Source organism: Homo sapiens, chromosome 1, assembly GCF_000001405.40.
Source record: "Homo sapiens chromosome 1, GRCh38.p14 Primary Assembly".
Classification (NCBI taxonomy): Eukaryota; Metazoa; Chordata; class Mammalia; order Primates; family Hominidae; genus Homo; species Homo sapiens.
In genome coordinates this window covers 65,826,823-65,853,799 of record NC_000001.11, presented here as the reverse complement: position 1 = coordinate 65,853,799, position 26,977 = coordinate 65,826,823, and the positions used below count along the sequence as shown (strand labels likewise).

General features: G+C 35.8%; 1 protein-coding gene across 3 annotated transcripts in view, besides 1 other annotated feature; it reads right to left on the bottom strand.

The window, feature by feature from the left end:
- The window catches only part of PDE4B (phosphodiesterase 4B), a 582,070-nt gene that overhangs the window by 520,780 nt on the left and 34,313 nt on the right, over positions 1-26,977 (bottom strand). The window lies entirely within an intron of this gene.
- Positions 12,476-12,742: a silencer, noted in NCBI's record as "fragment chr1:66306741-66307007 (GRCh37/hg19 assembly coordinates)". NCBI's record gives its function as "represses an EF-1alpha promoter that drives an FKBP-Casp9 reporter gene in an ReSE screen in HepG2 liver carcinoma cells {active_cell/tissue: HepG2}" and the evidence as "EXISTENCE:reporter gene assay evidence [ECO:0000049][PMID:32094911]".

Below are 26,977 nucleotides of genomic sequence, written 5' to 3'. Positions count from 1 at the left end.
TCCTAGCGCTTTGGGAGGCTGAGGTGGGCGGATCACGAGGTCAAGAGATTGAGACCATTCTGGCCAACATGGTAAAACCCCGTCTCTACTAAAAATACAAAAATTAGCTGTGCGTGGTGGTGCATGCCTGTAGTCCCAGCTACTCAGGAGGCTGAGGCAGGAGAATCACTTGAACCTGAGAAGTGGAGGTTGCAGTGAGTCGAGATTGTGCCACTGGACTCTAGCCTGGCGACAGAGTGAGACTCCGTCTCAAAAATAAAAAAAAAAAAGGGTTATAATGCATAAGCTAATAATGAAGAATAACACAAAATATTTTTAAATACACAACTAAAATAAAAGAAGTCACAAAAAGAATAAAAGAGGAAAGACAAATAGAAAATTAATAGAAATATGGTAGATTAAAACTGAAATATATCTATAATAACATTAGATAAAAGTTTAAATGCTCCAATTAAAATGCAGAGATTGACAAACTTCTTTAAATAAAGAGCAGGATCCAACTTTATGCTGTCTACAAGAAACCCACTTAAAATGTAAAGTTATAGATACATTATAAGGAAATGACAAAAAAGATATACCACAAAAATTGTAATCATAAGAATACTGTTTTTAACATTAGATAAGGTAGACTTCGAAACAAGGAATGTAATTAGGACAAAAAGAAGCATGTCACAATGATAATGGAGTCAACTGATCAAGAGGGCATAGAAATTATAAATTTGTATGCACCTAATAACAGAACTTCAAAAAACAAGAGGCAAAAACTGGCAGAACTGAAAAGGAAAATAGCTAAATGTAAAATTATAATTGGATAATTCAATACTCTTCTCTCAGTGATTGAAAAAACAAGCAGACAGGCAATCTGTAAGTATAAATAATTCTTAACATTATCAATAAATTTACCCAATTGACATTTATAAAATGTACACCCAATGACAGTAGAATCCAAATTGTCTTCAAGTATATGAAAAGTGTACCAAGAGATATAATAGCATGGACCATAAACAAGTCTTGATTAATTTAAAAGAACTGTAATCATTCAAAAGATGTATCTGACCACAACAGAGTTATACTAGAAATCAATAGAAAAAAATCACATGGAAATCCCCAAGTAAATGTAGATTAGAAAACATATTAAACTGAATAAAAATGAAAGTAAAACATATAAAATTCTGTGATAAACAGCTAAAGCAGTGTTTACAGTGAGAGACATGGATTTAAATTAGAAAACAAGACAGAAAAGAGCAAAGATCCAAAATCAATAATGTAAGCTTTCATATTAATGTTGTAGAATAAGAAGAGCAAAGTAAGCTCAACTAGATAGAAGGAAAAAAAGATAAAAACAGGAGTTAAAAATAAATGGAAATAAAGTAGGTTTATTGAAAACATTATGAATACTCCTATGTCAATTAAATATTGAATTCTTTATTCAAATCTGAACAAGAACCATAAAAGTTTCTGAACTCGGATTGCTTTATTGAATAATTCTATCTAATATTTAAGTAAAAAATAATGCCAATCCTACATAAAATCTTTTAGAAACCTGGAGATGAGAGAAAAAAATCTCATTTCATTTTACAAGGTTAGCATAACCCTGATAGTCTAACCAGACAAATTAAACCAATAAAACTACAAATCCATGTCTTTCATGAAAATAGATATAAAATCTTCAAAAGTTCTTGGAAATAGAATCCAGCACTAAACAAAAAAGGGATAATATACCATAATCAAGAAAAATTTATCCTAGAGATGTAAGGCTGATTTCATATTCAAAAATCAATCAGTGTAATTCACTGCATTAACATATTAAAACACATTCATCTCAGTAGATGCAGAAAAAGAGTTCCTGATTAAAACATATTTTAAAACTCTCAGAAAACTATCAATAGAAGAAGCATCTATCAAAAACTCTTCTAACATCCTACTTAATGATGAAAGAATGCTTTCCCCCAATATCGGATAACAAAAACAAGAACTCCAATCTCACTACTTCTATTCAACACTAGAGCAGCAAGGTGAGAAAAGAGATAAAAACCATACAGACAAGAAAGACAGACCTCCTTTAAAAAAATAGAAAGAAGAAACCTTTTAGAATCAATAACTATATTTAACAAGGACTCAAGATTTAATCCCAATATTTTAAAAATTAAGCTTATTTCTATATACTAGCAACAAATAGTTGGAAAATAAATGTTTAAATACCATTTAAAATAGCATCATAAACCACGAATGATTAACAAATAAATTTAACAATTTATATGTGTACTTGTACAATGAAAGCTACAAAACACTGTGGAAAGAAAGACCTAAATAAATAGAGAAACATACAATGTTCATTAATCATAAGACTAAGATTGTTCACGTTAGTTCTCTTTAAATTTATCTATAGAGTCAACTTAATCCAAATCAAAATCTCAGCAAATGCTTTTGTAAATATTAATTATATGATTCTAACATATATATAGAAAAAATGTGTATATAAATGCAAAAAAAGAAAAAAATGCTAAAATAGCAAAAACTGTTTTGAAAAAGTACATATTGGGAGGACTTAAACTGTTGGATGGCAAATTTTACCATAAAGCTGCTGTAATCAAGACAATATGGTACTGGCATAAGGATAAAACATAGGTTCATGAAACAAATTAGAGAATCCAGAAACATATCAAGCGTATTCGGCCTATTGATTTTTGACAGCATCTAAACTAATTCAATGGGAAATAGAAAGACTTTTTAGCTAATTGTTGCTAGAACAATTGAGCATCCCTTGGGGTAAGGGGAGGACTCATATTCACATACATGTGAACCTCAAGTATTATCTCACTTCATACAAAAAATTAATCTGAAATGGATCACAGACCTAAATGTGAAAGCTAATACACTAAAACTTACAGAATAAAACATGAAAGAAAATATTTGTTACCTAGGTAAAGATTTCTTCGATAGGAAAGAAAAGCACAAAGTGTTAAAAATATGTTAGACTTTATCAAGTTTTTAAAATTCTGCTCTTTGAAACTCATTGTGAACAAAATGCAAAGGCAAGATACAGACTGAGGGAAAACTTTTGTAACATATATTTGGGGGTACACCCACATCTAGAATATATATATATACACACACATGCAAACACACATATACACACAAATACACACAAACACACTCTTACTCAGCTATAAGAACACAAACCAATAATTCACTTTTGTAATGGACAAAAGATTTGAACAGAAACTTCTCATAAAAAGATACACAAATGGCCAACTAAAATAACTATCCACATCCTTCACCATCAGAGGACTGTGAATTAAAACCACAAAGTGATATTGCATCAAACTCACTACAATAACTTCATTGTTCACTACACCATTCTACACTATGCACTACAAATTCACTACAAAAAGTACAGAGCAGGCCGGGCACAGTGCTCACCCCTGTAATCCCAGCACTTTGGGAGGCTGAGGTGGGTGGATCACCTGAGGTCAGGAGTTCGAGACCAGCTTGGCCAACATGGTGAAACCTCATCTCTACTAAAAATACAAAAATTAGCTGGGCATGGTGGCAGGCGCCTGTAATCCCAGCTACTTGGGAGGCTGAGGCAGGAGAATCACTTGAACCTGAGAGGCAGAGGTTGCAGTTGCACTCCAGCCTGGGCAACAGAGAGAGACTCTGTCTCAAAAAAAAAAAAAAAAAAAAAAGTGCAGGGCAATACTACTAAGCGTTGGTGATGATATGGAGTAACTGAAACACTCATGTATTGCTGGTGGGAATGCGAATGGTGCAACTGCTTTGGAAAGCAGTTTGGCAATTGCTTATAGAAACATACAAACATAACATATGACTCAGTGACTGTGCTCCTATGCATTTACCAAGTGTGTCAGTTACCAATTTATTGACTCTTAGTTCCATATCCAATTTGCAATAACTGGCTGTAATAATCGAACTGAATCCTATATTTATTCTTTGCCAGGTGTCACAACCCTTTGTAACAGAGGGTTCCAAAAAGACAATAGAGAAAAGGGGCGTTCTTGTTCTGGTTCTGGTATGTTTCTTGCATCAGGCTCTCAAAATGCACACAGTTGTGTTGTTGTTTTTTTTCTTTTTCTGCAGTGCCCAGTATCTAAAAGTATATGACATGTTCTCATGGCCAGCTTCCCTTGGCATTCCCTCAGGTAGTTTTGCAGTGGAGTGCCACTGGCAGGGAAGCTTCCTCCCGGGCCCATAGAGTGGGATCCCCACCAGTGCCACCTGTTAAACACATTCCCTTGAATGGCATACACTGGCACCCAGAGAGAAAAGTCACTGGCCGGACAACTCTACTTAACCAGTTTCTTTCAACACCTCCTCAGGATGCTTCCCAATGGAGTACTGCTAGCCTGGCACCTCCCTGTTCTCAGCTTCCCCTGAAACCCCTTTAGGATGCATCCTTATGGAGTGCCACTGTGAACCTGCTCTGGGTAAAAAGCTTTCCTTGGTAACCCAGACAATCACCTCCCAGTGAGTGTGACAAGTAAGGCACCTCCACTTCAACAGCTTCCCAACCCCTCCTTGAGTATCTCTCCAGTGAGTTCTGAAGTACAGTTCCTGTCCATCAACACTTACCCCTTGCACTTCTGAAGGCAAATAGCCAGTGGAGTCCTGTTAGTGAGACATTTTACAGAAATACCCCACTATCTATTGAGCCATGAGCATGCCCTCTCAAATAGAGTGGTTGCTTCTTTCTATTCTGCTAATCCCATGTTCTCTAGAATTCTCTTTACCTCTTAATAGCCAATTTTCCATTACTCCAATGGTCTAATGATAGTATTCTATTAATAATTATTATCTATTAAGTGATTTTAATAATATTTTTAAATTAAATATTTCCTAAATGGTGTGGTTCCTGTCTCTTGATTGGACCCTGACTGATATACCAAGAGAAATAGAAACTTCCTTCCATCCACAATAAGACTATTACACAAATATTGAGAGTAGCTTTATTCATAATAGCTGGCAACTGGAAAGAATTCAAATGTTCAACAAAGGTAAATGGATGAATGATTTGTCATATATCAACGCAATAACATATTGTCAGCAACATAAATGAATGAACTATTAGTACATGAAACAACATGAATGAATCTCAGAAACATTTTGTTGAATAAGAAAGGCCAGCCACAAAAGAGTATATATTATTCCATTTATATGAAACTTTAGAAAGAAAAATTAATCTATGGTGATAGCATATCAGTGTTTGCTTGGGCTGAGAGTAGGGCATAAGAAGTGACTAGAAGTTGGCACAAGAGACTCTTAAGATAATAGAAAGGCCTACATGTTGATTGTGGTTGACATTTCACAGACATATATGTCAAAATTTATCAAGCTGGGCCAGGCGTGGTGGCTTACAGCTGTAATCCCAACACTTTAGGAGGCTGAGGCAGACAGATCATGAGGTCAAGAGATCGAGACCATCCTGGCCAACATGGTGAAATCCCGTCTCTACTAAAACACACACACACAAAAATTAGCCATGCGTGGTGGCACATGCCTGTAGTCTCAGCTACTCAGGAGGCTGATGCGGGAGAACTGCTTGAACCCAGAAGGTGGAGGTTGCAGTGAGCCAAGATCACGCCACTGCACATCATCCTGGTGACAGAGCAAGACTCCGTCTCAAAAAAAAAAAATGATAAAGCTGTACACTTAAAATGGGTCCATCTTATTGTTTAAAAATTATACCTCATAGTTCATTAAAAAATTAATGAATTCACAAAATTAATCAATACATTAACTCCCCCATTCATTTAATTTGGATGAAGTCATCTTGCTGAGCTTGCTCAACTTTTATTGTACTGATAAAGCTGAGTTTCCAAATGTTCCAAAAACAATTGGCCCAGTCATCTGCTTACGATTTATGAATTCACAAAATTAATCAATACATTAACTCCCCCATTCATTTAATTTGGATGAAGTCATCTTCCTGAGCTTGCTGAGCTCTTATTGTACTAATAAAGCTGAGTTTCCAAATGTTCCAAGCTCAGGGCTTGATGTCAAATGATGATAGTATACTAAAGAACTGCCACCTTTCCGGACTTTCCCTTAATACCTTCTGCTTCTTAGTTCTCTATGTGTTCAACACTTACATGAAGGTAGGAGTGACAATGAAGAAAGGACAATGATTTCAGTTGTGCCACTCACAGGCTGCTGAGAACTGCAGAAAATCATGACAACTCACCAGGTCACCACGCTTTAGAGATATCCATTCTGCTATAATCACAAAGGGATTCAGGGACTTTCAGCAAGGAAAGAGGCTAAGAGAAAGAGGTAGCCCCATCAACTTGTATTAAATAAAGATCTGAAGGCCACAGCCATCCAATCTGCTCATATGTTTGAATATAACACAATGTCAATCCTGACTTCTGTACAGCCCCAGCCATAGCTGTCATGTTGAAGAGCCCAGCAATTGAATTCAGACTGCCTGAACAATATCCTGGCTCCACCTTTACATGTGATGTGATCATAGTCAAAAAGCTTAACCTCCCTATGCCACAGTTCCCTCAGTACCTTCCTCATGAAGTTGTTGTGGGGCTCAAATGAGCCCATGGAAAATGTTTTACAAAATGGAAGACATATAGTAAGAGCTCAATACATGTTATATATTGTTGTTATTATTAGTGTTATTTTGTTGTCATGACAACTACAGTATCTAGAACAGTGATCATAACAAAAGCAAGCAATGCTATTGCCCAACAATATTAGAAAATGTTATGACTGTTAGCAGAAAACAGGTTTTTTTAAATCTACAACAGATAATGTGGTCAACAAGAATTTAATGTCATATTGCTGCTTTGTTGTTACAGTTCTTCCCACATTGAATCAATACCAGGAAAGAGTTGTTTACCATACACAAAGAATGTACTGTTTTTCCCTGTAACTCTAAGTAAAGGTTATCATGGATTGGTATGTCTTATTAAGTTTATCTGCCAAAAGCTGAGAAATTGCTAGTAATACAAATTTATGATAAAAACACTCCATTTGTGCCAGATAACTGAAATGAAAACTATTCCTCTCTATAACTATAAATGAAGTAACTCTAACTAACACTAGATACACAGCTAGAATTCTAGAGCTTTCAGAATCACTTGCTACTACTCCAGAAAGCTTTGGAAATACAATGTAGGCAACAATATCCAAACTTGTAAGAATTTGCCCCTCTGTTTCATTCACAGCTACATTCTTAGCATCTTAGCTTCTTAACCCTTCATAAATTAAATTAACTCAAAGCTCATCAACCTAGCATTCAAGGCCATTAAAAATATGTCAGAAATTGTTCTTACTGAAACTTGATTTTTATTACCTCCTATGCCACAACCAAACTGACCTATTTCTTTGTCTCCAAACATGTTCTACGATTTCTCAACTGTGTTCATTTTTGCCTCTCTGAATTCCACAACCTTGCCCTATGTTTATCTATTAAAATATACTTTATTCTATACTTAACCCAGTCTAGTGAAGTTTGTTGTCAGCCCCCAAAGGGGTTGGGAAATGCAGAGCTCATGGACAGAAACCACACCCTCCTCTCTCTGTGCTTTCTCCTCACTGGAATTAAGGGAGAGTGGCTCCTAGAGACCCATTGATAGAGACTGGAAGGTCGTGACATCCACCCTGATTGGATGCTTCCTGGGTGGAAACAACCTGTAGGCCTACCTAGTGCTGTCATGGAGTCAAACAAGATTAGTAAGAACTTAGACCATAACACCTGAAGTTTGAAAGATATGTGAACACAGGGATTGGGACCCTCTTCTGAAAAATTGATTTCTGAAGAGGAAAAGCCCACGGAGGAGGCGGCCAGCCAGGCACAGCTTAAAGATACTAAGATACAGTGTGGCTTTGAAGAACAAGATGGTAATTTACTTCCCTATTCTCTAAGCCCCTGCATAGGGACTGGAGAAAAAGTTGGAGGAGTTCTCATGGTTTCCTGTAATGAGACACCCATCCGGAGAAAGGAGATGCAGAACTTAAGAAAAATCTGACTTCCTCAATCTGAAAGAGTCATTAAAGATAAAGGGTGCAGGGGTAAAGCTGACACCCCGAGGACCATGCACAGCACTTAGGTGGATATCGCTCTACATGGACAGAGACCAGAACTGGATGGAATACAGTGACAGCAGGAGCACTGTTCAGCATCATCAATATGAGACCAGCTATACCAAGAGCTCTGCTTCCCTATTCCTTCATTCCGCCCACATTTCCTTAAACCAGAAGAGCTTATTCATCTCAAAGAGTAAAACATTGACGGTATCTCAGAGCCAGACCATATCTCACCCCTACAATAAAGTTAGGGTTACAACTCCAGCCCATGCTGTAGAGAGAGGGAGCTTTGACTCACACGAGACTGAAGTTCTAAACTGGGCTAGACTAAGTCTTAATAACTGAGAAGTGGCTAGGAAGCTATAGAAGCTAGCCAAGATTTTGTTAAAGGATGCTAGAAAATGATCCACAGAGCAGGGCTAAAAATTTAGATTGGAAAAATAAAGGCATTTCATGTTTATATTGCAATGAGTGTATATTTCTCAACAAATTATTTACAATTATTTATAACTGTGGAGAGAAGTACTGCATGTTGTTTAAGCTCACTTCTGAACTGCCAAAGTTATGTTGGATGTTATGTTGTACGCTGGGACATTATCCAGAGAATGAAAAATTGTCTGCAATTCTAATTAAAAGCAATTTATCATGTCATAGAGGCCAGAGTACAGAAATGACAGGTGGAGATGCCCCTTAGACAGATGGGGGTGGGCAGAACTCTTCACTGTAGTTGCAAATTCAGCAGCTGGGACTGTCTAGGCATACAGTTATCACTTCATATGTCAAACTACAACCCACTGAATTGATCCAAACCTCCGCAAAACTACTCCTAAATAGAGCTGCTTTACAAATCATTTACACCTCAGAATTCCTCCATAATTCTGTAATAAAAACAATTGGCCCAGTATCTGCTTATGATTTCTGGAAAGCTGTCCAGCTGGTCACAACCTCTAAGCTTTGAGCCAAGAAGAAGAGAATGCCTAGTATATCCTCCCCACTTCTTTTTATCTCTTTTTTTAGTTGCTGTTCAAGTAATGTGTTTGTGGGGAGAATAAACTACATATTAAAGACAGCAGCCTTTTTGGTTTTGGTCACTAAACAGTCTTGGAACAAAACTCCCTATAATAAAATAAATTACAAGAAACTCAAATTTGTTTTTATTTTGTTTTGTTTACTTTTTTTTGAATTTCAAATCCAACACAAAATAAGGCAGTAAGTTATTTTGGCTACCAAGTAAATAGTAATGAATTAAGCCAGTTTTAGCTGGAAAGCTTCCATTTGTCTAAGAGAACACAACGGTCTGCGAGAGTCCAGCTCTGAGACAACATTTCTTTGGTAATGTTAGATCTATCATCAAGGCGATGCCAAACACTTCCATGCGCACTACTTTTATTCCTCTTCAAAAATGTATTTGTGTTTGGACTGCCTAGCTAAATTGTAGGATACCTGAAATCATAGAAAATACTTTCTTTCTCAATTTTGTTATCCAGTACAGCACCCAGTACAATCATGAATACCTAATAAATACTTTTATTCTGTTGACTTTTGCCATCTGGCCCCCAAGGCCTAAATCCACATTTATGAAGCAATTCAGAAGCGTCAGATGTCAGGCACTTCAGATGTACCAAATATTATGATTATATATTGAAGACATGTGGATAAGAAATGTTTGAGGTAAATACAGTTAGTTTCTCTGAAGGTCAAACAGAAAGTAAAAACCAGGAAAAAAGAAACTGAACTACCTGAAACTTTAAAAACAATCTAATTAAGCCATCCACTCATATAAGCTTTATATGGTAACTTTGTTATGAAGATGTTCTATAATTGTCTTATTTCCACTTATGTCATACTGTGGAAACAGGCGAGTAATATTCAGTTTTACCAAGCAAACATAATGTAGAGATATGCCATTTTTAGAATAATTATATTTAACCAAAAGAAAATGCTAAGTTATAGCTTCTTTTAAAAGTACATCTTTATCCTTAAAATTTTTGGAAGAATAATATGTTTGGATACAAAACTTCTTATTTGCAAATGTAAGATAAAAGCAGACTTAAGGGAAAAAAAACAAATCCTGTCTTTCAACACCTACTGACTTAATTCAACAGACTGATTAAACGCATATATATATACTTAAAAACTTTTATCCTTATTTTTCACATTAAGAAACTCAAGTTTATATACACCAATGAACATTCTTCCATGTCCCATAGGTAGGAAATGAAAAGCTGAAAGTCCAAAATGTATTTTACTTTTTAACTGTTAACAAGAGGTGCTTCTCATAACCACCCATGGCATTTGGTAGTGGGAAATTTTCATGCACTCTCTTAACAGCTGTACCTTGGGGAAGGAAAGGGCAAAGTTTGCCATATAGGTATTGGAGTATCCAGGCTCCAAATGATAAAAACAAATGATGAAAGAGAAGCCAGCAAATGAATCTTTGTAATTCTCTTCTCTAGGGGCCTTCCTAGGAAGTGTAAGTATGTCTCTCGTGTGTTGGAAGCTGGGCCTTCTCAGCCTCACTCTTTCTGGAAACTTCCTGAGTATACCTCCTATATAACCTCTTTTCTTCATAATTCCTCAGTGTACCTCAGGCCTTCAGAATGACTCCAGCTCCTTAGTATGACAGAAAAGGCCCTTTAAGAAATGGTCCCCAATGGTCTACATCTCCAGTCTCATCTTTCTCCTTTCCTTTACCCATATACATCCTACACATTTGATAGTTATCCCCCAAATCCATAAACTTTCAAATGCCAGTGCCTATGCATATGTAACACCCTCTGTCTGGAACTCCTTCCTCCACTTCCCTATCTTCCTGGCATGAGCTCCTATTCATCCTCCTAGACGCCACCCATTCTCTGAGAATGTCAATGTCTCTTCTGTGAAGATTCAGAAGTACCTCTTGTGCTCTGCATGCAACTCTATTACCATGTAACATAGTGATTTGAAAATAAATACACACGCATGTATATGATGACTGTGAGCATTTTTAGGGCACAAACTTATTTTTCTCTGCCTCTATGTTTGTGGGTATTTTGCACTATTCTTGGCATGAAGTGGGTCTTCATGTATTTATCTGTTCAGCAAATATTTACTGAATACATGCCAAGTGCTAAGTACCATCTTAAGCTTGGAATAACAAGTCGGATGAACATTATAGGACTTAAATCCAGTAACAATAAATATCTGCTGAATTAAATATTCCTTGTTACAGTTGGTATAAATATACCTCCTTCCTCAGAAACAGCATGGCAATTTGCAGCTAATCATGATACAATATATGTTGTCCTATGTTTTAGTTGTTTGCATGTTTTATTATACCACTCAATAAGACTTCAAACTACTAAGAGCCAGGGATCACAAAAAGGGGTCACCTTAGAGTGCCGCTTCTGTTCTCCCATGCAACTCTTTCATATATGAATTATAATACTGAATAAAAACACTATAATTATTTGTTTTTGTATTTCCTGCAAAAAAAACCACTTTCTTAATGTTGAGAGACCATACATAGTATTTATTAGTGTTTTTTTGTGTCTGGCAAGTCAATACTCAATAAATATGCCTGGCATGACTGGATTAGCACAACATCTTGAAAATAGTATCTCCCTAATAAATACCCTAGAAATGATCTATTTCGCTTAAAACCCATATAGTCTTAAATATAGCTCCCTCTAATTGTCCATGGTGTAAGATTCACCTCCATGACTACATCGAAGGGAAAGACTAAGTTGATTTAATATTTCTAATTAGATAATGGATTCTTTGAAGAAAGTTATTGGTATATCTTTCACTATTTCCTTTTGTTATTGCCACTCAGAATAGATAATAATTATCAATAAATGTTCATTAGCTGCTTGACGGTTTAATTATTCAATCAGGGTAGAAAACAGACAACAATCCAAAATGGAATTTCTCTTATATAATAACATGTTGATGGTTTGTTGCCTACTTTTAATCTATTGATTAAAATTTTTGTATGTTACACTAAAAACTATTTTTCGAAGTAAAATAAACTCTAGAGATAATTTAGACCAGAGAGATGGCAATATAGGCTTATTTAGAATCTATTGAAGTTTGGATCCTCTCCAAGTAAAAAAACATATTTTCAAACATATTTAAATCATTTTGCATACCATTCTAAGTAATTCAAGGCCTCCCTTGAAGCCTTAGATGACTGCGACTTCTGGTTCATAACCCGTTTTTGGCCCTCATGTTAAAGATGGAGAAATCCCTAGTTTGAGGACAGTAGGCTGCTTCCCCAAGATCACACAGGTACCTTACCCCAGACTCCTCTATACTAAGCATTAACATAACTAGAAATGGCAATGAACTCTAAGTGCAATAATTCCTTCCTTCCTTCCTTTCCTTTCCTTTCCCTTTCTCTCTCTTTCTTTCTTCCTTTTCTTTCTTTCTCTCTCTCTCTTTTTTTCTTTCCTTCTTTGAAGGCAGAGTCTCGCTCTATCACCCAGGCTGGAGTGAATGAAGTGGTGACAATCTTGGCTCACTACAACCTCTGCCTCCTGGGTTAAAGCAAGTCTCATGCCTCAGCCTCCAGAGCAGCTGGGATTACAGGCATGTGCCACCACACCCAGCTAATTTTTTGTATTTTCAGTAGAGATGGGATTTCACCATGTTGCCTAGGCTGGTCTAGAACTCCTGAGCTCAGGCAATCCACCTACCTCAGCCTCCCAAAGTGCTGGGATTACCGGTGTAAACAACCGTGCCTGGCCTCTAAGTACAATGATTTCATTCGAATATTGTTAAATAATTTGCATCCTAGCAAGTTCAAAATACCCTACACCTGTATTCTGTTTCATTTACAAAATTTCTGAGAAGCCCAAAATGACTCAACATAGCGATTCCGAAATTTCAGTTGTTCAGTCTAACAACAAACATTTGATTCAATGCGACAAGGGGATATTGACTGCCTTTTACGAGTTCAGCTCTATGCTAGGTACCAAAAGTACAGAGGTGAAAAATATGCACATAAGGAGCAAAGATAGCCACTTCATCTGACCTTGGACAGAGGAAGTGTGTCTAATTCATCCAGTGCCCAGCACAGGGTCTCGTAGCTAACGATCTGAGACATTTATTTAACCAAAATAACATAAGAGATGGCTCATGCCCTTAAATAGCTCGCATTTTCTGGGAACTTTTTTTACTGTTATTTCTATTTGTCTCGACTGAATCTTCAAACTCTTTTTTGTTTTGTTTAGTATTGTTAATGCTTACAATAATATTAAGAAATGCTAAAGGCAAACAAACTTTTAAAAAGTTATAATAAAATTGTAACTACTCATTAAAAATCAGGATAATTTTTTAGTATCTTAAGAAAATAATTCTTTTTAAATCCAATTTGGTATTATTTTGTACATCAAGCTTAATTAGTATAACTATATGTTTTTCTTTTAAAACTTTTATTATAAATCAGTTATTTTAAAGTGTGCAACATTGAATATGATGTCTTGGTCCAATCTATCTTTCTTTTGAGGAATTTATGTTCATTTGCTTCTATTACAACTTTTTCATACTTCTCACCATTTTATACGTACACACACACACAGACACAAACATATACATATAAAACAGAAGTATTTATTAACTGAGTCTTAAGGATATGGTTAGATGCCACAATATAGTTTTCTATGAAATTCAGCCATCTTTTTTATCCTCATGTGGTGCAATTTACACATACTAACTTCACTTGGCTTATTTTTTTTATATATATTTAAAATCAATGCAAATCAAAACCACAATGAGATACCATCTCATGCCAGTTAGAATTGCAATCATTAAAAAGTCAGGAAACAACAGATGCTGGAGAGGATGTGGAGAAATAGGAACACTTTTACACTGTTGGAGGGAGTGTAAATTAGTTCAACCATTGTGGAAGACAGTGTGGTGATTCCTCAAGGATCTAGAACCAGAAATACCATTTGACCCAGAAATCTCATTACTGGGTATATACCCAAAGGATTATACATCATTCTACTATAAAGACACATGCACACATATATTTATTGTAGCACTGTTCACAATAGCAAAGACTTGGAACCAACTCAAATGCTAATCAATGATAGGCTGGATAAAGAAAATGTGGCACATAGACACATCATATAATACTATGCAGCCATAAAAAAGGATGAGTTCCTGTCCTTTGCAGGGACACGGATGAAACTGGAAACCATCATTCTCAGCAAACTAACACAAGAACAGAGAACCAAACACTGCATGTTCTCACTCATAAGTGGGAGTTGAACAATGAGAACACATGGACACAGGAAGGGGAACATCACACACAGGGGCCTGTCAGGGTGTGGAGGGCAAGGGAAGGGAAGGCATTAGCAGAAATACCTAATGTAGATGATGGGTTTATGGGTGCAGCAAACCACCATGGCACATGTATACCTATCTAAGAAACCTGCATGTTCTGCACATGTATCCCAGAACTTAAAGAAAAAGATAATAGGAGAATACTAAAAAAAAAAAATCATTGGTATTGAATGAAAGTATAAAATAATAAAATAAAATCACAGCAAAACATGCATCTAACAAAAGATCTAATCTTGGAAAGCTGGAGGTAAATAATATAGAGATTTTTATAACTGTTATTTCATAACTTAAGTTTATAGCTTATAGTCTAAGTATTTCCAAATCCTAAAGTATACAGCAAAAATTCGATATCTTACACACCTACTGCACAAGCCACAAGTTACAACTGATTTTCAGCAATAAATTATTTTTCTTAATACAACCTTTTTAAGTTCATCATCCAACACAATGAAATTATACAAAACACTTACTAGCTTCAAGGTATTTTTGGTTCCACAGAAACTGTGCTTGCAATTGTCATTTTTAATCAACAGAAACCTCTTGAGCTTATGAATCAGTAAGAATAATTAACATTAGTGAAGCTTTTCCAAACACCAAGAAAAACAGAATTTCTTTTTTCCTGCCTTTCTTATTAAAGGAAAAAGAAAGTAAAGGAATGCTATTAGAGTAACCTAGTACTATCAAGTCATCTTTCAGGGCTAAATCGATCACTAGCACTATCTGCTCCTACAATAAAGAAATGGGAGGAAAAAAACATATATATATGTATATGTATATATATACACACATATATATACACATATACATATAGATACATATACATATATATACACATATACATATATACATATACATATATATACATATATACACATACATATATATACATATACATATATATACATATACGTATATATATACATATACGTATATATATAGTGACAATCTAAAGGAAGGAAGAAGAAAAGATTAATTAGATCAAAATGTAAACTGTTCTAAACAAAATTATTTCTAAAGTAGACACCTTATAAAGGCTTGAAAGTGTGTTTCTACTATAGTTTTTATTTCCACATAATCTCTGTCCTCCTCCACAAGCAAGGGGCAATTAAATTTCTTGTCAATATTCATTTTTTTGATGATCTAGAACACAAAATAACAAATGCATTAGTGAAATATTTTACCCATTTTGAAAAATAATGTCCGTTCTTACGGACTCTAAATAAAAAGTACATGCGGAGGTTTCACTGGCAAGACATACACTTCTAATGAACAAAAAAGGAAGTCAAGAGGAAAAAACCCAATCCCTTCAAACAACTGTGTACTACCCAGCTAGCTATGACACTAAAATAAAATGCATTTATTTTTGCAATGATGTTTTATATCCAAAGTGGTAGAAAATACTGCAAAAGTACACTACAGGAGTTGTGCTAAAATAAAATCACATGTGTGAGCTAAATGATGAGAACACAGGGACACATAGAGGGGAACAAGGTAACACACACTGGGCCTTTTCAGAAGGTGGAGGTAGAAAAATAACTAATGGGTACTAGGCTTAAAACCTGGGTGATGAAATAATCTGTACAACAGACCTCTCTCTCTCACACACACACACACACAAGTTTACCTATGTAACAAATCTGCATATGTACCCTTGAACTTAAAATAAAAGTTAAAAATATAGGAATTGTAAAGAAAACAAAATCCATGCCAGTAAGGTTGTTCGTCAGCTTTCCCCATATACTCTGGTTCTCAAGTTACTGAAGATGCTAATGAATTGTAGATAGTATTTTTTGTTTTTGTTTTTGAGATGGAGTCTTGCTCTGTCGTCCAGGCTGAAGAGCAGTGGCATGATCCAGACTCACGGCAACCTCCACCTCCCAGGTTCAAGCAATTCTCCTGCCTCAGCCTCCCAAGTAGCTGGGATCACAGGCATGGGCCATCACACCTGACTAATTTTTGTATTTTTAGTATAGTATAGATGGAGTTTTGCCCCTGTCTCTTTAGTAGAGGCAGGCTGGTCTTGAACTCCTGACCTCAGGTGATCCTCCCGCCTCAGCCTCCCAAAGTGCTGGGATTACAAGTGTGAGCCACTGTGCCCGGCCTGTAGGTAGTATCTTTATCCCTGTGAACCAGACTTGAGAAATACTGTTTCAGAAGCTATCCATTTAAATGTGATAAGCCCTTTGTCCTTTGTATATACAATACATGATATATAAATAATCTCTAGGGCAGTATATATAGAAAAATGTAAATTGTTGTTTATATACATGTGTCTAGGATATCTATCACCATGGTAGCTTAATGATTAAAAAAAAAAAAACTGGTGCTGGCTGGTATGTTTAATTTTAAAAAGTATACAGTGACATTTCCAGCAGTTGATCTGTTTATATTATGAGCAAATTATACTCAGGAAGTATGGCGGAAGTAAAAAGGAAGTCTTCTCCCTGAGTTCTGGAATCCTCTTTTAGAATCAGCGTGTTTTACTGCTTAAGCCCCATGAAGACTATAAACAAAGAAAGCAGTGTCTCTCATAGGAAGGAAGAATGGAGAATGGACGGTCAGGCATGCCCTTTTGCCTTCATGAAGATCCAACACCCTTCCTCTCTACCATGGATAAGCTGTAGGCATCCTTCTCTAAAATAGAGAGTAAGAGAACAATAATCTTTTATATGATGATAAAGACAGAGATAAAGATGGAGAAAGAGAGATATAGCAATACAGATAGAAATGTAAAGGAGTTGAAACAAAAAAGTAAAGGAGTTGAAACAAAAATGTAGAGGAGTTGGAAAAAAAAAGCTGTCAGAGAATAGTACAAGTGCTTAGCTTAGTATGTGTGAGCATAGAAGGCCAGAGCAATAGGATGCCCCGGTGTTTACCTGGTTCAGCCACTTCACTTACACCTGAGGAAAATGAAAACCAGGAAGGTTAACAGCCTCGCAGAAGAATTACTGGATGCTAAACAACAGACTGTAGCCCTCACTAGTCACCCAACCATCACATGTAATCAATATTACATGAGGAAAATGACTCTGAGGCGATATCAGAGGAAGACAAGACCAGATAAATGATCTTACAGAGTAGAGATGACCATGTATAGGACATGGGGACATGGTAAGGATAGCGGTGAGTTGGAGAATGTATGACCCATCTAAAGAGAGCAGAGCTACTAAGTCCGGGTGCAGTGGCTTGCGCCTGTAATCCCAGCACCATGGGAGGCCGAGACGGGTGAATCACCTGAGGTAGGAAGTTCGAGACCAGCCTGGCCAACATGGTAAAATCCCATCTCTACTAAAAATACAAAAATTAGCCAGGTGTGGTGGTGTGTGCCTGTAGTCCCAGCTACTCTGGAGGCCGAGGCAGGAGAATCGCTTGAACCCGGGAGGCGGAGGTTGCAGTAAACTGAGACCATTCCATTGCACTCCAGCCTGGGCGACAAGACCAAGACTCCATCTCGGAAAAAAATAAAAATAAAAATATATAAATAAAAAAAAAAGAGAGTAAAGCTACTTCACTCAAGTGGATTTTTGCCTTGTGGGAATACAGGTCTGGTGTTACTGGATATACTGAATTTTCAAGACAACTCAGAAATCCAGATTTTTAGTAGAAATCCTCTGATATTTAATTTCTGGACATTAATTCAATTTTTTGAACTGCCATGCAGACCTAACATGTAGACAGCTTGGAAACTGCCTGTAGTGCTCCAGCTCATGTACCCCAGTCTACAGCAGTGCAAATGTCCTCAGAAAACATTTTTTAAATGTGGCCAAACTGGTCAAAAGTTGATGCCTCTAGTGACTTCACTAAGATAATCAATAGATTTCAATCAAGAGAACTTTTCAGTGAAACCTACTCAAGATGGTTGGATTTGCCTTTATTTTTCACTTGCTCAGCCTTCTCTGAGGGCCACCTAATTGGTCTTGGCTTCTCCTTTAGGTTTGCCGATATCGTATTTTGAAAATTAACACTTTTCTGGGTTAAAATTTTTTCTCTGCTTATAAAATCAGGACTCCTGCTTGCAAATACACTTACGATGAACACCACAAGAGAGGAAAAATGTCAAATTTTCTTCAGAAACTTGTGAATGGCTCAGGAATTGCTTTGGGAAGCTCTCTTTGGAGAACAGAGAGGGATGATTTCTATACACAAACTGAAGAGTGTTAGATGCCATTTCCTATGTACTGCCCTATGAAACAGCCAAAGCAGGCATACCAGAAAAAGACAGAAAGCAATTTCAGTCTCATCTAAACCTTCCCATTCATGTTCCCTGGTTTCTCAACTTGCTTATTTAAAAATTCCTGCTTGTCCTATTATTTGTTGATTATTAATTTATTCACTAAGTAAATATTTGTTGAGAACTGACAACAAAGACCATAACAAAGTTATGTTCTGTATCTTTATGGAGGTTAAATTCCAGAGGCGTTGAGAGCTATAGATGGATAGAGTGGTGTGCTGGTAAATATTTAACAAGCAGTTCTCCAGGGATGAGGCTCTGATTTACAGAGTTTGATGATTCCTGTGATGTAATTATTTGCACCATAACTGATTTCAAACTACCAATGTAACACCATGGATGCAAAGTTGGGCTTGGCTTCTCTATTGATTTTGGTGTGATTTAGAACTTACCAGTACAACCCAGGAAGTGGCAAAATGAAATTTGGAGTCAAAAATAAGTGGGCTATCATCTGGATTCTGCCTCAATTTAGACATGAAGACGTGGCTATATATAAGCCTCTGTCAGTTCCCATATTTACAAAATGGTATTAGTTATACCAAATTATACTTCTCTCATGGGACTATGAAGGGTTAATTTGACCATTAGTGTAAATTCTCTAGAACAGTCTGTGGCACATGGTAGAGGCTCAGCAAATGATGACTGGTTTTTCCGCCCTTTCTCATTCTTAAAATTCTACATTGCATATAGACGTGAACCTTAAAATCCTTCATATAAGGTATAAAAACTTAATAGTTGACATGCATTTAAGTTTTACTGTGTAAGAGGCCCATACTAAGTGCTTTACACATTCTTTAAGCAAGAAACTCAACATCATATCCCAAATGTTTGCTTAAAGAAACTTGCTTAGGCCAGGCGCCTGTAATCCCAGCACTTTGGGAGGCCAAGGCAGGTGGACCACATGAGGTCAGGAGTTCAAGATCAGCCTGGCCAACATGGCAAAACCCATCTCTACTAAAAATATAAAAATTAGCTGGGCATGACGGCAGACACCTGTAATCCCAGCTACTCTGGAGGCTGAGGCAGGAGAATCACTTAAACCCGGGAGGCGGAGGTTGCAGTGAGCTGAGATTATACCACTGCACTTCAGCCTGGGTGACAGAGTGAGACTCCATCTCAAAAAAACAGAGAACGAAAGAAAGAAACTTGCTTAAAGAAACTCAGTGTCATAGCACACTATTATATAGCACATCATTATATAATATATCCACCATACAGACATGATAGATATAAATAAGCTCAAGAGCACAGGTAACAGCAAAATGTAGCCAAGTAATTAGAAAGTGATGCATTTTGAGTGTCATTACCTAGTTTTTGATATAATTTAATTGTAAGTTTAAATAATTTGATTTTTAACAATGTCTGTGCTTAACAACTGACTCAAAAAATTTCTGAAAATTTAATAATTTGTTCAGTACACTGCTAGCTAGACAGATAGATGAATTTTTATATAACATAAACAAGTGATAATGTTAATGAAGAAAAATAAGGCGGAGAAAGAGATAAAGAATAATAGAAGAGGTTATCCATTGGAAGAGGCCTAAGAATCAAAACCTCTGATGCTAGAAGTGGTCAGCCAATGACAGAATACCTTCTATCACTACATCTGCCTAGTATAACCAATCGGTGCTTTAACACTTCCTGTGACAGCAGCTCACTACTTTAGTAGCCAATTCTATCTTTGGACATTTCTGACTGAAAGTACTTCCTTTTATTGAGCTAAAAATCTATCTTCCTATAGCTATGGTTTTTCAACTGTGTTTTGTTATGCTTTAGAGGTTCTACAAATTGGGCACAAGGACCTCAGACGCCTTAAAGTCTGGTGAGGGGAGAAGTGGAAAGGCTGGCTAGAGACCAGTGCAGCTTTGCTTCTAACAAAGCGGTTGCATAATTTATCTCTTTATATACTGGGAATCTCTGTAAGCTTGTATTCGAGAAAACATTTTTATAGTTAAAACTTGGTTGAAATCCACTTCTGTAATCATCTATTATATATTGTCACCAATCTATAAATTTTTACAATGACATACATCTTTGTATCAATGAAGATGGGCTAGATTATGCAATGGTAACAAATCATCCTTAAATCTAAATGGTTTAATACAGCAATCATTTATTTCTCACTCATGCAAATGTGCTCCAAATCCTGATAACATTGTTCACTTTGCTCACTTTCATTCATCATAGAAAGTCACATTAACTTTAAAGAAGAGGCACAGAAGGGCTATATTCCCTGAGCTCAAGAGTAGAACTCAAAATATTATTGAGCAACACTAATGACTATTATAATCTTCTAATCATTTGCTATACTATTTATACCCACCTAATAACTTTAATGAGCAATATACTCAGTCAGATCTTTTAAAATTCCACATGAAACTCTGATGCTCACGACCCTCACTCTTTATTTCCTATTGAAAACCACTGATTGAACTTGTCAGAAGACATACCTTTCCACCATTTCCAAAGTTGACTTCTATCCTACCAGGACTCAGTGATACATATAAGACCAATTATACTTTCCCAAGTTATAATCTCAATGTACTTTCCATATTTCCTATGATCTTTGAATTGGTATCTGAATTACCACTAGCATTCCTGGGCCTTTTCCTAATTGTTTTCTTAGGAACTGAATCACTGAATGCCACAGTGGTTCACTGGATGCCACAAAAACTCTCAGTCTTGCCTTCCCGCTCTGTGCTCGACACATAGAAATTAGAGTCATATGTTTATCTGGACCAAATCCTCTCTTCATTTCCACATTTAATTTAAATCACTCTCGACCAAGTTACCTAGATGCCAATTAAATACATTTCTTGCAGGCATATCATTTTTTTTATCTTTAGCCAAAAGTTATTTCAGTCCTTATTCAAGTTTACAGACAGCAGCTGTTCAACTTCCAGATCTTCTGTCTTCTAAAGTTTCATCCTGCAATGGAAACACTGAATGTGTTCCTATATGCTTCCAAAGCCTTAAGTTTTACCTCCTACCTCAGAATCTTCATAAAAATTTGTCTAGACATTGTGATTATTTCTTTCAATCTTACACCTATCATTAGGAGTCCAAAGATTTCATAAGCAACATCAAATTCACAGCAATATAGTGGAATCTCAAGAAGATGGCATGCATACGTCTTGTCATTTTTGTGTCTCCTAAAAGGAATTCACCAATGGTTATGACTGATCTCTTTCTCCAGGGGTCACAACAGAAGTTCTTCTTCCTGTCATTGTTTAAGTGATACCCCCAGAGCCCGATATATGTTCTAACATACAGTAAATACTGAATAAATGTGTGTTTAATTTTTTAAAATAGCTGAATGAATGAAGACATTTTTGCTTTCATTTAGCTCTAGATATTCATCAGTGGGGTGAGTCTCACACTTACATATTGCTGAATTTGATTTGCTAATATTTTATTGAGGAATCTTATGTTTATGTTCCTGGGAGATATCCATCTAGAGTTTATTTTTCTTATAGCATCTTTGACTGGCTTCATAAAATGCTGGCTTCATAAAATGAGTTGGAAAGTGCTACCTCCTCTTCTATTTTCTGGAAGAGATTGTGAAGAACTGGGACTATTTTATCCTAAATGTTTCATAGAATTTGCCAGTGAAATAAACTGAGCCTAGAGTTTCCTTTAGCAGGTTTTAAACTAAAAATTCAATTTACTTAATAGCCATAGAACTAGCAAGTTTTCTAATATTCTTTTTGATAGTTTTTATCTTGCAATAAATGGATCCAGTCCCTCAAAGCTGCTGAATTTATGGGCATACAATTGGTTATAAGGTCTCCTTACTATTCTATCAATGTTTGTGAATTCACTAGTCATGTCCCCTCTTTCATTTCTGCTATTAGGAATGTGTGTCAGTTTTTCTTAATCAGCCTTGCAAGAGGTTTACCAATTATATTGATCCTTTAAAAGAGTCAGCTTTTGGTTTCATTAATTTTGTCTATTGAATTTATGTTTTCAGTTTCATTAACCTCTGCTCTAATCTTTATTATTTATTTCCTTCTGCTTGCTTTGTTTTTAACTTGTTCTTCTTTCTCTAAGCTTCTTTCTCTAATTTCTCAAGGTGTAAGCTTGGGTTACTGAATTTGGCTCATTCTTCATTTCAATAGAGGCATTTGGCACTAAAAATGTACCTCAGCATTGCTTTAGTAGCATCCCACAAATTTTGATATGTTGCATTTTCCTTTAGTTCAAATTATTTTTAACAATTTTTAGAGTAAATTTAGGCTGACAGAAAAGCTGCAAGGATAATTCAGAGAATTATTTTGTACCCATCACCTAGTTTTCTCTATTGTTATCACATTCTATAAACATAATACATTTTTCAAAACTAGGAAACTAATATTCATACATTACTATTAACTAAGCTCCAGACATAACTCAAATTTCACTAGTATGTCCACTAGTGTCCTGTTCTCTATTCCAGGATCACATTGCACTGAAATGTCATGTCTCCTTACCATGCTCTTCTGTTGTCTGGGAGAGCTTCTCACTCTTTCTTTGCTTTTGATGACCTCTACAGATTTGGGGAGTAGCTTTCATGTATTTTGTAGAATGTTGCTCAATTTGGTTTTGTCTGGTGGTTTTCTCATTCAAATGTGGCTAGGTGTTTTGGAGAAGAAGGCCACAGAGTTGAAGTGTGCTTCTCATCTCATTTTATCAGAGGTTACTTGCTATCAACATGACTCATCACTGGTGATGTTAACCTTGGTCACCTAGGCAAGTCAGTGTTTATGAGAGTTCTCCACTGTGAAGCGACTTTATTTCCTTTTGCAGATTCAATTATTTGGAAGCAAGACACAAAGTACAGTCCACACTCAAGGCAGAGAGAGTTAAGCTTGACCCCCTAGAGGAGACAATATTTCATAGATTATGTAATATTTCTGTAAGAAAGGTTGGTCTCCTTCAATTTATTTATTTTTCAATCATTTGTTTATATCAATGTAGATGCACGTGTATTTATTTTATACTTGTGTTGTAGCCCAGTGCCACATAATTTATTTTCTTGCTCAAATTGTTCCAATTTTGGCCATGGGAAGCATTTTTCAGCTTGGCTTCTGTAAACTTGTTTCTGAGCACTTATTTATTTTCTGACACTACTAGATATTTCAAGCACATCTTGTATTTTCCTGTCCAGCCCTAGAACTGGCCATGTCTTAAGAGTCCCTTGTTCCTTTTAGAAGAACTGTGTTTAGAAACCTCTCTGTATGCTCATTGCCACTGAAGTGTCACTGACTCTAGTTCTTAACAGAAAGAGCTAATTTACACATTTAGCTATAATTATTTTTGTATCTCTCCATTTACATTTATATTAAGCTAAACATGAGATCGTACCAACATCTCTGACTATAACCTAATACAACATGGTTCATTCTAGCTTTTCTCCTCCCCTTGGTTATCTGTACCAGATGCTTTTTGCTTTGTTTCGTTTTGTTTTAAATTATCCTTGAGACTTCTTAGTTAAACCCTGAGTTTATTTAGAAGAGTATTTTTTCATTTTCAAATATTGAAGGATTTTCAATAGATCTTTTTGTTATTGATTTCTAGTTTAGCTTTATTCTTATCCAAGAACCAACTTAGTATAACTTCTATTCTGTTAAATTAATTAAAGTTTGTTTTATGGCCCAGAATATAGTCTATCTTTGTGAATGTTCAGTGTTCACTGGAGAAAAATAAAAATTATGTTTTTGTTGATTGGAGTGCTCTATAAAGGTCAAATACATAATTTTTATAGCATGGTTTAGGCCATCTATATCCTTAACGATTTTTGCCTTCTTGTTTTGTCAATAAGAAAGGAGTGTTGAAGTTTGTAATTATAATTGTAAATTTGTTTCTATCTCTTTCAAATCTGGTAGTTTTGCTGCATGTATTTGAGGTCACATCACAAGCATACACATTCAGGATTATATCTTCTTGGATAATTTGCTCCATTATTATTAGGCAATGCCTCTGTTTGTCTCTGATAATATTTCTTATTCTGAAGTCTGCTTTGTTTAAAGTTAATATAGTTATCCATAATTCTTTCAGTTAGCATTGTCATGGTATATCTTTCCATATCCTCTTACATTTAACTTATATAATTCTTTATATTTAAAGTGTTTTGTTGTTGTTGTTCGTACATTGCATACAGATGGATCTTGTTATTTTATCCTATCTGAAAATCTCTGACATTTAACTGGCATGCTTAGACCATTCATGTTTAAAGTTATTATTAATCTGGTTGAGTTTATATATTCCATCTTGCTAGCTGTCGTCTATTTGTTTAATTTACTCATTGTCTCTTTTTTCCTCCTTTTCTGCCATCTCTGAGCTGAACTGAACATTTTTATTATTCCATTTTATTTCCTAAATTGACTTATTAATTATAACTTTTTTAAACTTTTTAAGTGATTTTCCTAGGGGTTATAATTACATATTTTAACAAAATAAGTCAACCTTTAAATAATATTACATCACTTCATGTGTAGTATAAGGACCTTAAACCAGTAGATTCCTAATTCCTCCCTCCCATCTCTTGTATCATTTTTGTCATAAATTTCACTTGATTATATGTTACAAAAACAATATATATTTTTACAATTTTGCTTTAAACAGTCAGCTATCCTTTAGAGGAATAAAAATAAGGAGACCAGGTGCAGTGGCTCACCCCTGTAATCCCAGCACTTTCAGAGGCCAAGGCAGACGGATCATTTGAGGTCAGGAGTTCAAGACCAGCCTGGCCAACATGGTGAAACCCTGTCTCTACTAAAAATACAAAAATTAGACAGGCATGGTGGCGCAAACCTGGAATCCCAGCTACTCGAGAGACTGAGGCAGGAGAATGGCTTGAAACCGGGAGGCAGAGGTTGCAGTGAGCCATGATCACGCCACTGCACTCCAACCTGGGCAACAGAGTAAGACTCTGTTTCAGAATTATAATAATAATAACAATGAAAATATTTTATTATACTTTTACTTATTCCATTACTGATGTTCCTCATTTCGTTGTGTAGATCCATTTTTTGATCTATATGACATTCCTTCTGACTTGAAGAGATTCCTTTACATTCCTCCTAGATTCGATTTGATAGCCATTAATTCTCTCAGTTTTTATTTTTCTGAGAAGGCGTTTAATTTTCTTTCCACTTAGGAAAAATATAGAATTCTGGCTTGACAATTTTTTTCTTTGCACTTTAAATACGTCACTTCAGTGTCTTCTGGCTTGCATGTTTTCTGATGAGGAGCCTGCTATAATTCTTATTCTTCTGCAGATAATATGACTTTTTTCCTTTGCCTGCTTTCAATACTTTCCCTTTGTATTTGGTTTTCAACTTTTAAAAACATTATATGTTGAAGTGTGAGGTTTTGGCATTTATCTTGCTTGATGTTCTTCCAGCTTTTGGATCTATAATTTGGTGTCGTTTTACCAAATTTTGGGAAATTCTCAGCCATTATTTCTTCAAATATTTTTTTCTGACTAGTTTTCTCTTTTTTCTCCTCCTAGGATTCCAGTTAGATGTAGAATAGGCTGTTTGATAATGTCTCAGCTCTTGGATGCTCTGATCTTCTTCGGTTTTCTCAAATCTATTTTCTCTTTGAGTTTTATTTTGGGAAATTTCCATTCACCTACCTCCAAATTCAGTGATTCTTTCCCCAACTATGTAAGTCCACTAGTGAGTCAGTTGAAGGTATTCTTTATTTTTGTTACTGTGGGGTTTTTTTAATAGCATTTTCCTTTGCTTCTTACAGTTTTCATTTCTCAGCTAAAATTATCTATCTGCCATTACATGTTGTCTAACTTTTCCAATAGAGTTTTTAACATGCTAATCAGTTATTTTAAATTTCCTTTCTGATAGTTCCAATATCTATGTCATATCTGAGACGGGCTCTGATTTGTGTCTTTTCAAATGACTTTTTTTTGCATTTTTGTATTCCTTGTAATTTTTTGTTGAAAGCCAGCTTTCAACAAAAAATTTGACAGTAGATATGGAAGTAAATGTTTTTTAATGCTTGACGATGAGTGAGCCTTTTGTTCTGCTAAATGTTTAGCGTAGGGAAGGGGGTTGTGTTAATCTAATCAGGTGTTGGGCTGTTTTTGATGTTTGCAGTTGCTATGATTACACGCAGTGAATTTCAGAATTCAAATTTCTCTAGTGATACCCTGTGCTTAATGTATGCAGTAATTTTTCAGAAGCCTTCCTTCTTTGCTTTGGGCTATCCCTTTGCACCTCTCTCAAAAGAGAAACTCCTTGTTGGAGCTTTCCCAGTTGTATGTCACAATTATTTTTATTTGATGTACATGGTGGGGTAGGGCTAAAGAGTGTGGAAAGCATCTAATATTCTGATTCAGCTTCATTCTTAATCAGGCAT